General features: G+C 39.5%; 1 protein-coding gene across 8 annotated transcripts in view; it reads right to left on the bottom strand.

The window, feature by feature from the left end:
• The window catches only part of DDR2 (discoidin domain receptor tyrosine kinase 2), a 156,543-nt gene that overhangs the window by 12,970 nt on the left and 130,233 nt on the right, over positions 1-13,340 (bottom strand). For 7 of the 8 annotated variants that reach the window (NM_001354983.2, XM_047421554.1, XM_011509587.3 and 4 more), the window contains 6 exons: positions 12,982-13,225; positions 8,373-8,435; positions 7,077-7,207; positions 3,924-4,134; positions 2,189-2,412; positions 840-967 (listed from right to left, as the gene is read on the bottom strand). In NM_001354983.2, coding sequence (NP_001341912.1) covers positions 840-967; positions 2,189-2,412; positions 3,924-4,134; positions 7,077-7,207; positions 8,373-8,435; positions 12,982-13,225 — 1,001 coding nt within the window. Of the gene's footprint in view, positions 1-839; positions 968-2,188; positions 2,413-3,297; positions 3,785-3,869; positions 4,135-7,076; positions 7,208-8,372; positions 8,436-12,981; positions 13,226-13,340 lie in introns of those variants that run through there. The other variant, XM_011509588.4, reaches the window with a different exon arrangement.

Below are 13,340 nucleotides of genomic sequence, written 5' to 3'. Positions count from 1 at the left end.
CACCATTCTTGGAATTTATGATAATTTGGAAAATAAGAATAATAAACTTTTTTTCACTATGAATATCAGTGAGACAAATCAAGACAACACAAATGGGAAAATGCATATGTTATCCAGGTGTGGAGATTTCTCTGGGACACATACAGCCAGCTTTCAACCAGCTTGTCTCTCTGGGTGAGGATTAACTCACCATTATTGTAATGGAAAGGCTGTCAGACAATGAAGTGTGGCTGGAAACTGCAATTTATGTAGAAAAAGATCCAAGAGATTATTAGCCAGTTTGGAAAACTGCTAGAGAACTGTGGATCCTTTTGCTTTGAGGTTCATAGATAATTTTCCAAATAGAGGTAGCTTCTCATTTTGAGGGTTGCTCAAATAGAAGAAAAGGAGCATAAAAGAGAAAAAAGGGATGAGAAAATAAATAGAAATGTGAAAAAAGGAGACTGGAAGAGGCTTAGCAAGAAAGTCATGTGTGATTCTGAAGACTTTGTCAAGAGGAGGTAATGACATGCAGGAGTATGTCTGTGTATAAAGACCAAAGAAGTACACATTTAGACAGTTGTATATGTTGGGAACAAGTACAGTGCTTGTGCACAGGGGGTTAGGAAGTAAATATGTGGCAAGTACAATGGAAAATGTACCTTTGTGTTTGAGAGAGGTGGAGAAAAAGATGAGGACTGCCGACCCCATCGGAATAAGAAAAAGGATAACAGTGGAAATGGGAGGCAGCTCACTGACCTTCCCATCTCAAAAGAAAAAATTGCTCAGAAGTATCCAGGAGTATTCCTGGTCCTAAAGATGAAATACCTAAAGGAAAATTCAAAATGTAGACCACAGACCTGGCATTCTTGTTGGCATCTGCTCGGAGCATTTTCACAGCCACCAGGACAGGCTGGTTGGCACTGACATCTAGGGCAAAATCTTTGTCTTTGAATTTTTCCATTCCCTCCACTTCACAGAGATGAACCTAGACAAAAGTCATCTAGTCTCAGCATCATCATTTCTCCTGAAGATGTCTCAGTACTCTTGCTGGGCATTTCCTGGAGATAAACTAACTCTTACAACTCAGGCAAAATGATCAAAAGACCAATAAGAAGATATGTGTAACATATCTATGATTCAAATAATTGATAAGATTTAAAACAATGGTAAAGTACCCAGCTAATGTGCCACTCTCCTGCCTTAGAAATACACATTGCTTGGAACACTAAGTGAATGAATGAATCAATAACAATATTATATTACAGCATAGCCCAATATAAAATGTCTTTTATTACAAATGCTTGAACTTCGATTCATTAGTCACTGGATCATGTAAAACGTAAGGCAATTTCCTAAAATAATCCCTTAGTATAGGGTTTAGCATTATAAGAAACTCCTGTCTATTAGTAACAGTATAACAGATGTGGGTTTTCAACCCAGGGGACAGAATGAGTACATGTCACACCATGAACAGATAACATGGGTCCCTCAACCTCTTGCAACACCAGACCTATCTAAGGAGAGAACATGAGATCCACACTGAAAACCAATAACATGTCTTAGGAAACCAAATGTTTTATTTGGAGTTTAGACGGCAGTGGTGAAGAGTTCCTATTAGAATTCAAAACATTGCTTTGAGCTCCCAGAAGGTTCATGTGACTGATGCAAGAATGAAAAGTTTAATAATGCATGCATCACTCTGAGGGCAAATGAAAAGAGTACTCCTCCTTATCTTAGTTGGTGATTCATTCCCTAGTGGCTGATTCTGGGACCAAAGGCAGGGGCGAGGTTGTTTTTGACCATTTTACATATAACTCCCATTAAAGGGGAAAAAAACAAAGTGGCTATTGAGTAGCAGAATGTTCCTGGACAGTTCATAAAAGATGATCACATCTTCTGGATCCCACCCTCCATAATCTATTGTAAACATTTTTGAAAATATTGAATGTTTTTCAAGATATCTGAAGTCTAGTGACTTGCCTGCCTTAAAAACTCCTATATAGAAATCAGAAGTCCCAGGAACTCCACAGCTATTTGACAAAGATTAGGTTGACCCAATACTGAAATCCAGAGGACAATGCAAGGAGAGACAAATGGAAGAGACATTCTGTTGTGAATCCACCTCTGGAAGGGACTCTTTGTTCTACTGATCATTTTTATCCAACCACCTTCTTCGAGCTATAAGGGAATCAAAGAATCAACTCACCTCCCCAAACTGTCCTTCTCCCAGCTTCTCTTTGAAAGTTAGGAGTTTCCTGGGGAACTCCTCCACAGCCACATCTTTTCCTGAGAGCAGGTCCATGGTGACGGCAGGCACTGAGTATGTGTTGCCTCCTGTCACTCCTTGGAGGTTCACTATGTCAGCCTCTGCATAGTGGGGCACCCCCTCAGGGCCACTGGGCTGGACTGGCTTCACAACACCGCTGCAGCCTGGGAAGACAAGGGCAACGAGCCCTCATTCCGTGGAGTGTCTTTGGAGATCTCTTCAGGAAGGAACTCTGAGAGGAGGGCTAAAACATGCCCCTGTGAAAGCCTAACCTGCTTCATGACATTCTTACTTGGAAAATGGTTTTGCTTCCTCTAGAGATTTTCTTGTGGCCTACAGAATGTAGAACATCATTTTATTTCTCATTCTTTTCCTCATAATACATGATCATTAACAAATTCTGTGGCTAAACTTGTGGAATTGTGTGGTGAAGCTATAGGAAGGCTCATGGTATATCAGGGTGGGAATATTAAAGGTTGAAGGTTTAATAACTTATTTCCTTAATTTTAAGACACTGTTATTGACTTAAAAACTGATTTTAGGTATAAAAAACTTTCAGATTAAAGACATATGATCTAGCTTAAGACATATTCTAACTTAAAAAAGCCTTAAAATATGAAGTGGGGGATGTTTTAGACTTAGGAAATAGGTAAATTACTTCCATTCACCCCAAGAAATAAATTAGTTTATATCCTTTATTCTTGCTGTCTCTGTGAAATTACTTGAATTTAGCATGCTCTTTCATGTCTTCTATCCATTGAATAATAAAATAGATGCAAGTTTCCTTTTATCCTTTGAAAAGACCCCTTCAGGCTCCTTCCTATAAAATCCTATGCTCTTGAATTTAGTCCTGTCTGCTTCTACATCCAGCTCAGGCCTAGCTCCTCTCTCCTGAACACTACAAGTTCTTTTCTACTGACTCGGGTCCCTCAGGTTGATGATCTTATAGAAAAGTTGCTCTGAGCTAAAGAGGTGACTCCAGCTTCCCTTCTGATATGACTCTGCATCATTTTTTGAAAGACATCGAAATTTGAATCAACTGACACTACTTACTGTTTTACCTGTTTTATTGTTTTATTTCAATGCTTTTATTGAGAAAAGGTGAGAAATGTTTTACTCTCATAATAAAATCTCATATTACTCTAATAAACGTTTACCAAAGAGAAATTCACAAAAAATAGATAACTCAAGTAGTTATTTATTTTAGTTATTTAAATGGCTACACCACTGGGAATTTTGGAATGTCTTTAGCTTCATTTATTTATTTATTTCTCCAGGTAAAAATCTAGTCCTGCCTTTACCCACTCATGAAATTTGGTGTTGGGTGAGTACTCTATCTGGACTTTCTCACTTTCCCGACATGTAAAATGAGGTTAGACTGGTTGGACTGTTTAGGTTCTTCTGGTGTCAACACCTAATTCACATGTTTTATTATTTTTTTCTTTCTTTTCTGGTATGTGGGTCCCTCCACACATCTTATATTCAGTAGCAAAGGAGAGTTGCTCAAATTAGGCCAGGAGCAGCGGCAGACCAAATCTAGAAAGAGAATGTGGACTTCTCAGGAGGTTAGCAGAGACTAAAAATAGATGCAATGAACTGGGAGCAGGCGTGTCATACCTACCTGATGCTTGCTGAGGTTTCTCCCTTGACACCCTGCCCACCACATCATCCTCACCTGACTCCTCCTCCCCTGGAGCAAATTCTGGGAGTTTTCGTATCAGCCTGGATGGCTCCTGGTAGTCAGGGCGAAGGGGAAAGATGCGATCGTAAGTCGAGTTGGACCCTTGTTCACTAGGTGATGAGGAGCGGTTATTGTTGAACATGCTAGAATCACTTGGCAGGGAAAGGCTGACTGTCATTTCATCATCCAGCATCCTCCGAGAAGCCTGGAAGAGAAGAGCAAGGAGAAAGGCATGTTGGCACAAAAGAGATGGTCAATGCCTCCTCTTCTTAAACTCAGCTCTCCCACTCAAATGAAATAACTCTTTACTACTGTTTAACCCCAGCAACACTGCACGTGCTAGGAATGCAGTCTGGTTCCACAAATGCCTGTGTTGTAGGAACTTAGAATAATCCTTCATTTCTTCAAGGTAGAATTTGATCTTCTAATTTCTATGATGTGCTTTCTGAAACACTTAAAAAAAAAAGATTATCTCCCTGTTGCTATAAGAACCCATCAGTAGCCAAAGATCTCAATCTTATAGAGTTTTCTATGTTTTATTAAATGATGGGTTTTCCTGGCTTACCCTTTAACTACTTGGTTTTGGAATAGACATAAATTGTTTATTAACTTAATGCATGTGCTATAACATGATGAATCAGTAGTTCTACTTGATCATTTTGATACCCTAGATTAGGATAATACCCACCACTGACCCATATTTTCACTAACCAAAAATAAAATGGCTACAACATGGGACAGGAAAGCCCTGGGTGTCCAGAGATAACAATGTGACTTACACCTAATAAGGGAGGGAGAACAACAAAGCAACTACTTCTGTGGTATCTTATCTAATATAACCTGCCTGCTCCATCAAAAGGCAAATGCCAGCATTTGCATGTATGTGACTATTTGGGTTTAAACATGTAAAATGCTCCACTCCAACAAACACAGCTTTGGTGCTCAATGGCGAAACTTAGATGTGCACTTTTCCACTAGACTGAAGGTCTTTTGTTGCAGTAATATCCCCAGTACTAAGCATGAAGCTCAGAACAAAGTAGGTACTCAATATATGTGGGTTAAATCTCTCAAAGAAGGAATGTTGAGGACACCACCAAAATTATCCTACAAATAATGCTACATACAGTCTACAGCTATGTTAAGTAATGTTCTTAGAATGTATGTGTGTACTTAATGATTTTCCACATAAAATTTTGTTCCCAGGAAGAAACACTGGGTGTCATTCCAGAGCACCTTGAGTCATCTTACTCAGGATGTACAGGGGTAGAATTTCTTGGAGGACCAAGTTAAATATTCAAGGGCAAAATGTTTGCTCTACCTTTTACCTGGAGATTCCAACATTTCTCTCTTAGCCCATGAAGATATTCCAACAGGCCTCAGAATAAAGACTCAGAGAAGTATGGTAAATTGTGGCTCAAATAAAGAGAAAAAGAGCTCATATAGCAGAGAACACAGACTTTCCCCCTTGGCTAAAATGTGGTCCTAACAGACTATTTAAGAAGGTCACATATCCTCTTCAAGCAGTTCAATGAACCTTCAGTTCACCACCACCCTCACTCTGGAATACCTCATTAAACACTAGTGTTTTCCAGCATTCTAAAGGAGGAAAAATTTTGATATTTGCCTCATTCATGCCTTGAGACATACTCGTGACAGCGAGTGAGTCTCTGTGGATTCTGTATTTCAGTCTTCTGTTGCTATTTGCGAATTGAAAGCTTTAAGTGTTTTCAGACTGGTAGACATACTTGTGGGAAGCAAGGAGACCTTCTCTTCCATGAAATATTCCTTCCTAAAAACCTTAAAACAAACATCAACCATCTCAGGAACCTGAGGGTGGCACAGATCAGAAGGAATTGCAGGCTACTCATCAGGATTGCTCCTCCTTACCCCTGATTTGAGCCATTTTTCTCCCATCCTGCATCTAGAAAGCTCTAGAGACTCAAGCCCATTCTCATGGTGCCCTTTCCTCTCCTCTGGAATAGAGGTTCCACACAGGCATTGGTCTCCTCTGAGTCCCCACCCCCAAACACAGAAATCAATCAGGATTTCTCCTCCTTCCTATTCCCTGCCCTCAGGAGGCAGTTCAAAGCCCCACAGCTCAGAGTTCCTGTGGCCTCTACTAGTCCATGTCTATTGAGAGGAACTAATTGACCAGGAGAGGTGATCATGGCCAAAGGCAGAAACACTTAGTCGTCAGCAGGCCCCAAAAGAATCAGACACTAAGCAGCAGTGAGTTGCTATTTGGTCCAAGGGAGTTGCTATTTGGTCCAAGAAACCAAGACAAGTCATAGATATTCCATCTTTGATGAAATGAATATAGTTTTGAAGAAAGAAATCAATGCATTTCAATATTAACAATTGGAAAAAGCATAGAAGACTGGACATCAGTTGTATGACCTTAAGCACATCACATTTTCTCATCAGAAAAATAGTTAAACATAACAATGCCTATGAGTTATTACTCAATGAGGTGTATATAAAATTATGCATGAGGAAAAATTCTGCTTCCTGTAAAGTGTTAGACAATGTAAAAAGTTATTCAGATCATTTGGCATAGACAGAGTCTGAAGAGGGACTCAGAGGGATACATAATCACAACCTTCAAGTACACAAAAGTAGAAATAGAATAGTGAGAAACTTGGCTTGAATATTAATGAAGCTGGATGTTTTTCTACACACACACACACACACACACACACCAAACAGACAAGCAAAGTGAAAAAGATGAGAAGGAACTTCAACAGCATTATCAGAAATTTCAGCTTGGCATTAGGAGAGTAATTCTTAACCTCGAATGTGCATCAGAAGCACTTGTTAAATTTTTTTTTAAATATGGATGCCTGGACTCTACCCAAAATCCAGTGAATCAGAATCTTCAAGGAAAATGCCTGAATGGAGATTCAATGTATTAAGAAGAGTTTTCTGCATTTCCGAGGAACGTTAGGAAGGTTCCAACATCTCCACTCTAAAAATGAGAAAATAGACTTAGCTAATTCTATTCTGGCTTCATTCCTATGTTTCTTGGTAGCCTCAGTTAATTCCAACCATTAATAAATGTTTGCAATTTGCCTTTTACTCCTGGGACAACAGTGGCTTAAGAAAGAAAGGAGCAGTTTCTTATATCATGACCATTCTGCACCTCCTCACCTTCTCCAGCATTTTCTGCCAGAACTGCCTCCAGAGGATGATGACAATGATGGCCAGGAGGATAAAGATGATGGCCACCAAGCAGCCAATCAGGATCCGAGTGTTGCTGTCATCAACTTTAAGCATTGGATCTGTGACCAGGGAGAGAAGGCAGAGAATACAATCATCTCACAGGTCAAGTAAAAGTATGAGGGACTGAACTGGAAACATGGAGGTAGACCCTGTTCCTTGAGGATAATTATGGAAGATGCCACCTTAATACTTCTGCTTATTCTTGCTCTTGCTACTGTTTTGTTTTCTTGCTACTGTTTTATTACTTTTTTTTTTTCCTGAGATAGAGTCTTGTTCTGTCCCTCAGGATGGAGTGCAATGGCATGATCTTGGCTCACTGAAACCTCCCCCTCCCAGGTTCAAGCAATTCTGCCTCAGCCTCCTGAGTAGCTGGGATTACAGGCATGCGCCACTACGCCCGGCTAATTTTTGTATCTTTAGTAGAGATGGGGTTTCTCCATGTTGGCCAGTCTGGTCTCGAACTCCTGACCTCATGATCTGCCTGCCTCTGCCTCCCAAAGTGCTGGGATTACAGGTGTGAGCCACCACGCCCAATCTGTTTATTACTTTGTTCCCCTATCCTATTTCCCTCTTCCATAAGACAGTAGTCTCCCCCTCTCCATGTGTCAGACAGAGTAATGGTGAGTTTTTCTATTCTTCCCAAAATTTTGTCTCTGTATTATTATGGCCTGAGTCTGTAGTCCCTTAATCACACCTCATGAAAAACAGGTGAGGAACCAGTTTCACTCTCTGCATTCTTTGAGACATGCCAAGGTAGCTGAAAGTCCTCTTTGGACACATTCAATCCCACATGTTTCCCACATTGCTGGCTAGTGTCACCAATGACTGCCTAAAGCAATGCATACATGGCATATTTATCTCCAATTGGAGATATCAGCATTTTGTTTCTTTGATTTCCACCCCTCCTTAGAAATACCCACTATGGGTCTGACCCAGGAATGTCCCTTTCCCTGTTTCTGACCCCAAATTCCCAAACTTTCATGGAGAAATTAGGACAACTCCAGACTCTGCCTCAGCTGAAGAAGCACATGAATCCATAGTGAAGAGAGTATATTTGGATCCATAACTTGGAGGTAGACAGTCCTACCTTTCCAGGGCTACTCTTCATCCAAAGCCAACTGGTGTAAAGCCTCCCACACAGCCAGGGCTTTGCAACTCTCCACCCTTCTTCATCCCCCAGTAAGTCCCTTCAAATTAATTTGTGTAATTAGGAATCACATATACCATAGGTTGTGGGTGCCATAGGAGAGGTGGGCAGGGCTTCAGAGTTGTTGTACATTGCAGCATCTGTTATAAAACAAGGGTGAGTCAGAGCCAGGGAGAAGACAGACAGCTAGTGTTTTCTCTGAAGGCATATTGTGACCTAGCACATTACAAGATCAATTTAGTGAGTTGTCATCAGTCTTTTAAAAAGATAAAATCATAAATACGTTGAATAAAAAATCACCATTTATCTAAATAGTAAAAGCAAGTTTTCCTTTGTAAAATTTTTGTTTCACATATTACATACTAGATGCTATGGTACAAAAAAGTTTAAGAAACAGTGATTCAAAGGGCTGTACCACACATTGTCATAAAGCATAAGAAGCAGGACCCAAATTCAGTGAAAATATAGACAGAATATAGCGGGTAAATGGGCAAGGGACAGACATAGTGTTAAGATGCTTTTTCCTTCAAGGATATTAGATTGTTTATAAAAGAGTCTCCACTATGCCTCATCGGCCTAGCCCTTCAATTTATGAATTAAGGCTTAATCTTTATAGATATTTACTGACATTGGAGTGTCTTTTTCTGTGATTTTACAGCTTTTGAGACTAAACCACAAAAGCGTATTTGCCAGATTGATGTTGGCAGCTTTGCCAGAGTTTTTCCCTCTGATTTGTCTAATCAAGGGGGTCAAGAATTAGAATATGTATTTCCTTTCTAAGAGACATTTCTTCCAGGTATCCTAATTTTTCTTCTTCTTAATATTATTATATAAATAAGGAGGTATCTGGCCTCTGCATGTGCTTTCGGAGTTCGGCTGTCAGGCTCCGGTGAAAACTAATATTATTATGCATTGGATTTAAAGCTCAAGAGACCCCAGGAGTAAAAACCATGGTTCATAGCTATAATTAGCTATAATAAGTGTACCAGTTACTATGCCAGGAGAATCCCTGAGGATGGGTGGGAATCTATTTGTCCCCCAGTTAACACTTACAGTGTAAGTGGCACTGACTTTGAGCATCTTGATTTCTACTCTCAGTATTCAGATGAAACAATCAATCAACTTACTCTTAGATTAAATCATTAGCACAGAAGGCATTTAAACACCAAACCTGTTTTCCTAAAAATATGCTCTATTTTCTTATCAGTACATCTTAATAAGCAAACCATCTTGAAATTTTTTTCCCTTAAAAATCAAATCTGAAAGGATGGGTTCTTCTGATTTATTTTTCTTTTCTTTCTTTTTTTTTTTTTTTAAACAGGGTCTCACTCTGTCACCCAGGCTGGAGTGCAGTGGTGCAATCTCGACCCACTGCAAGCTCTGCCTCCAGGGCTCAGGTGATCCTCCCACCTCAGCCTCCCAAGTAGCTGGGACTGCAAGCACGTGCCACCACACCCAGCTAATTTTTGTGTTTTTTATAGAGACAGGATTTCGCCATGTTGCCTAGGCTAGTCTCAAACTCTTGAATACAAGCAATCCTCCTGCCTTGGCCTCCCAAAGTGTGGTTTATCTTTAAATTAGTCTCTTCCTCTCTTTTATGTTATTTTACACCTGGACTTTTCTTCCAGGCCCAGTACAAGTCTCATTCCTTTGATGCTGTCTATGACAAACCCACGCTAGTGCCTCTCTCCTCCTGACCATTTATTGTTCATATTGCTTTGGACATTTCTTTTTTTTTTTTTTTTTTTAAAGCATTCTGTATCTTTCATCTTCCCATTTAAATTTAATGGTATGAACAATGTTCTAAACACCTTTTAACTTTTCAAGATTTGGCACAGTTTCTGGCTGTAGTAAGTTAAATCACTATTTGCTGCAGTTACTGTTCAATCAAAAGTAGTGTTTAAAGTTTAAAAGGAATCCCTAAAGGTTGAAACAAATGGAATACAATGAACCTAACTGTATATCACATTGGTGACATAACTACATACAGAAAAGAATTATCCCACTGTTACCCTAACTGTATACCACACTGGTGATATAACTATATACAGAAAAGAATTATCCCACTGTTACCCAACTGACCTTAGAACATAGTGCTTTGACTGCACATTCTTAGTAGGATATATTCTCAGGACAAAGAAAAGAGAATTGCTAAGAAATCTTAATGTTCAATAGTTACGTTGCTAGTAATAATATTGGTATTGCTTTTTGAATAATAGGATGAAGAAAATGCTGTTAACATTGTTAGGAAACATGATATTTAGCATAAATAATAGAGATGAACGTATAAAATCAACTTTAAATAAAAACCTTATCTTTAATTTGAATTGGAAGTAACAATGTAAACTCACAATCTTTCTTTTTAAATATACATATTTCATTGCTTTCTTCCACCGAAAAATCCAAGAAACAATGACAACCTATTAGTAATGAGCATCCCTACTACCCAGTTTGTGTTTTCTAAATACCATTTCCTACTAAAAGGAATCAAGATTTCTTGAAATGGTTGATTCCACGTCGGGTGCTGTACATGTTCAAAATGAGCTTGAAATACCTTGTTCTTTCGGAAAACAAGAAAGTTATCAAAGGCTTCTAGGGTCAGATCAAAAGAGCAAAGAGCCCCCTTAAAAATGCAAACTCTAGGCTGGGTGCAGTGGCTCACATCTGTAATCCCAGCACTTTGGGAGGCCTAGGCGGCTGGATCGCCTGAGGTTGGGAGTTCGAGACCAGCCTGGCCAGCATGGTGAAACCCCGTCTTTACTAAAAATGCAAAAAAAAAAAAAAAAAAAAAAAAAAAAAAAAAAGCCGGGCGTGGTAGCAGGCACCTGTAATCCCAGCTATTTGGGAAGCTGAGGCAGGAGAATCACTTGAACCTGGGAGGTGGAGGTTGCAATGACTCAAGATAGTACTCCAGCCTGGGCAACAGAGCAAGATACCGTCTCAAAAAAAAAAAAATGCAAACTCTAGTCAAAGACAGCACAACTTGAGTATTAAAAAGAATAATGGCCAGACACGGTGGCTCATGCCTGTAATCCCAGCACTTTGGGAGGCCAAGGCAGGCGGATCACTTGAGGTCAGGAGTTCGAGACCAGCCTGGCCAACATGGCGAAACCCTATCTCTACTAAACATAGAAAAACTAGCCAGGCGCAGTGGCAGGCACCTGTAATCCCAGCTACTTGGGAGGCTGAGGCAGAAGAATCACTCGATCCCGGGAGGCGGGGGTTGCAGTGAGCCAAGATCACACCACTGCATTCCAGCCTGGGTGACAGAGCGAGACTCTGTCTAAAAATAAACATACTACTACTAATAATAATAACTGCAATCGATTAAGCATTAAATTGATAAAAAGCAATGAGTTTATAATGATACCAAAAAAATAAGGGTAAAAACCAAAATTAATTAGACATTATTGAGGGTTGCTACGGTATCAAGTCATTACTCTGAAAATTAACAATTAAAGGGGAAGATAAGTCACGTATGCTGCTCTTTCAATGTGATTTCTGAGTAAACTGGTGCATGATGAAGAATAGTTACTCTATTCGGAAGAAATTCAGCTAAGAAATGCAGAAAAAATAAAAGAATTAGAAAATCGTCATTTAGCAACCCTAGTGAAATAAATAATTCAGACAGTGGTTATTGATGGAGGATAAAACTTAGGGAAAAAGTTCATGAGGAACCAGAAATCAATCTTAGTATCACAAAAAGTGAGAGGATCTAGCATTACATCCCCATGATGAAGTTCAGCATAAAATATACAGCATTACTGAGATATATAGAATGCTTATAAAGAATTCTTGACAAAAATAAATATTGAACTGGAATCAAATTAACCTGTAGATGTAAGCACCAGTCATTAGGAATGACAGAGAACAGAAGCTCAAGTAAAATGACACCACAGAAAGCCATCAGCCAAGCCAGAATCCATTTAAAAAGAAATAAAAATGGAAGGAATTTTTTAGATTAAAAGAGACACAGAGCAAATAGAATAAAGAAACTCACCAACAGATCCTTATTTTGATCCTTATTTGATAAAGTCAACTGAATTAAGACATTGATGGACAGTTAGTCATACTTGAATATGGACAGGATATTGGGTGGTATTAAGAAATTATTTAATAATAAAGGTTGTTAGATGTTATCATGGCATTATACCTATGAAAATGATGCTATTTTCTTAGATGCAGTCCAATTATTTGCTAATGAAATCAAGTAGTATCTCATATTTGCTTTAAAATGCTACAGCCAAAAGGAAGGAATGGGTGAAACAAATATGGCAAAATATCAATGATTAGTAAAGCTGAGTGATGAGTGGTTTATTGTTCTCTTTACTTTTGTGTATATTTAGAAATTTTCATTTAAATATCTCAGTAATGCTTAGGTGTGCTTTTCCTTAACAGCGCACTCGTTAACTACCTTAAATTATATAAAATTTTTAACACACTGTACTCTCATTTAAAAACATTCTTTCTAAGAAGAGTTACGTGCATATTTTGTTCACTTCCATTCTCATCCCATCCCCTCCACAGTTAAAACTAGTCACACAAAGGATTCACCGTATCCGTCAATGAGAAGCTGCCTGTACAATCCCACTCCTCTCAGAGACCTGCTAATGAGAAGTTCTGGGCATGTGCATTCCTCCTTCATCACCTTGCTCCCACTTCCCAAAGAGGACCTGAGCTCCCTACCTGATTGGAAGGTGATCTCACTGAACATCATCCAGGTATCTGCAAAATGGTATTGACACTTGATGGCACTGGCCATTCGGTGGTGGAGAGGCACCGTGACAAACCGAGCACTGGGGTTGACGTCATCCAGGACAAGGGGGAAGGAAATGGCATTAGGTTCCCACTCACTGGCTTCAGAGCGGAAGTAGCACTGTACCTCCTTAAAGATCTTCACACCTTTAGCAAACATGTTGTTGCAGTGGACCTGGTAGAGAAAGAGGCATGTGAGTGATAGGTTGGCCCTGCTAAGGTGCATGGAGACACAGTGCCAGCCAACTCAGTAGTTGCCGTCTACCCTGATTCGAGCTATTCTGAACTGA

This window comes from Homo sapiens, chromosome 1, assembly GCF_000001405.40.
Source record: "Homo sapiens chromosome 1, GRCh38.p14 Primary Assembly".
In the NCBI taxonomy this organism is placed as follows: domain Eukaryota; kingdom Metazoa; phylum Chordata; class Mammalia; order Primates; family Hominidae; genus Homo; species Homo sapiens.
Note: the sequence above shows the minus strand (reverse complement) of the source record. Positions and strands in the feature narration are given on the sequence as shown.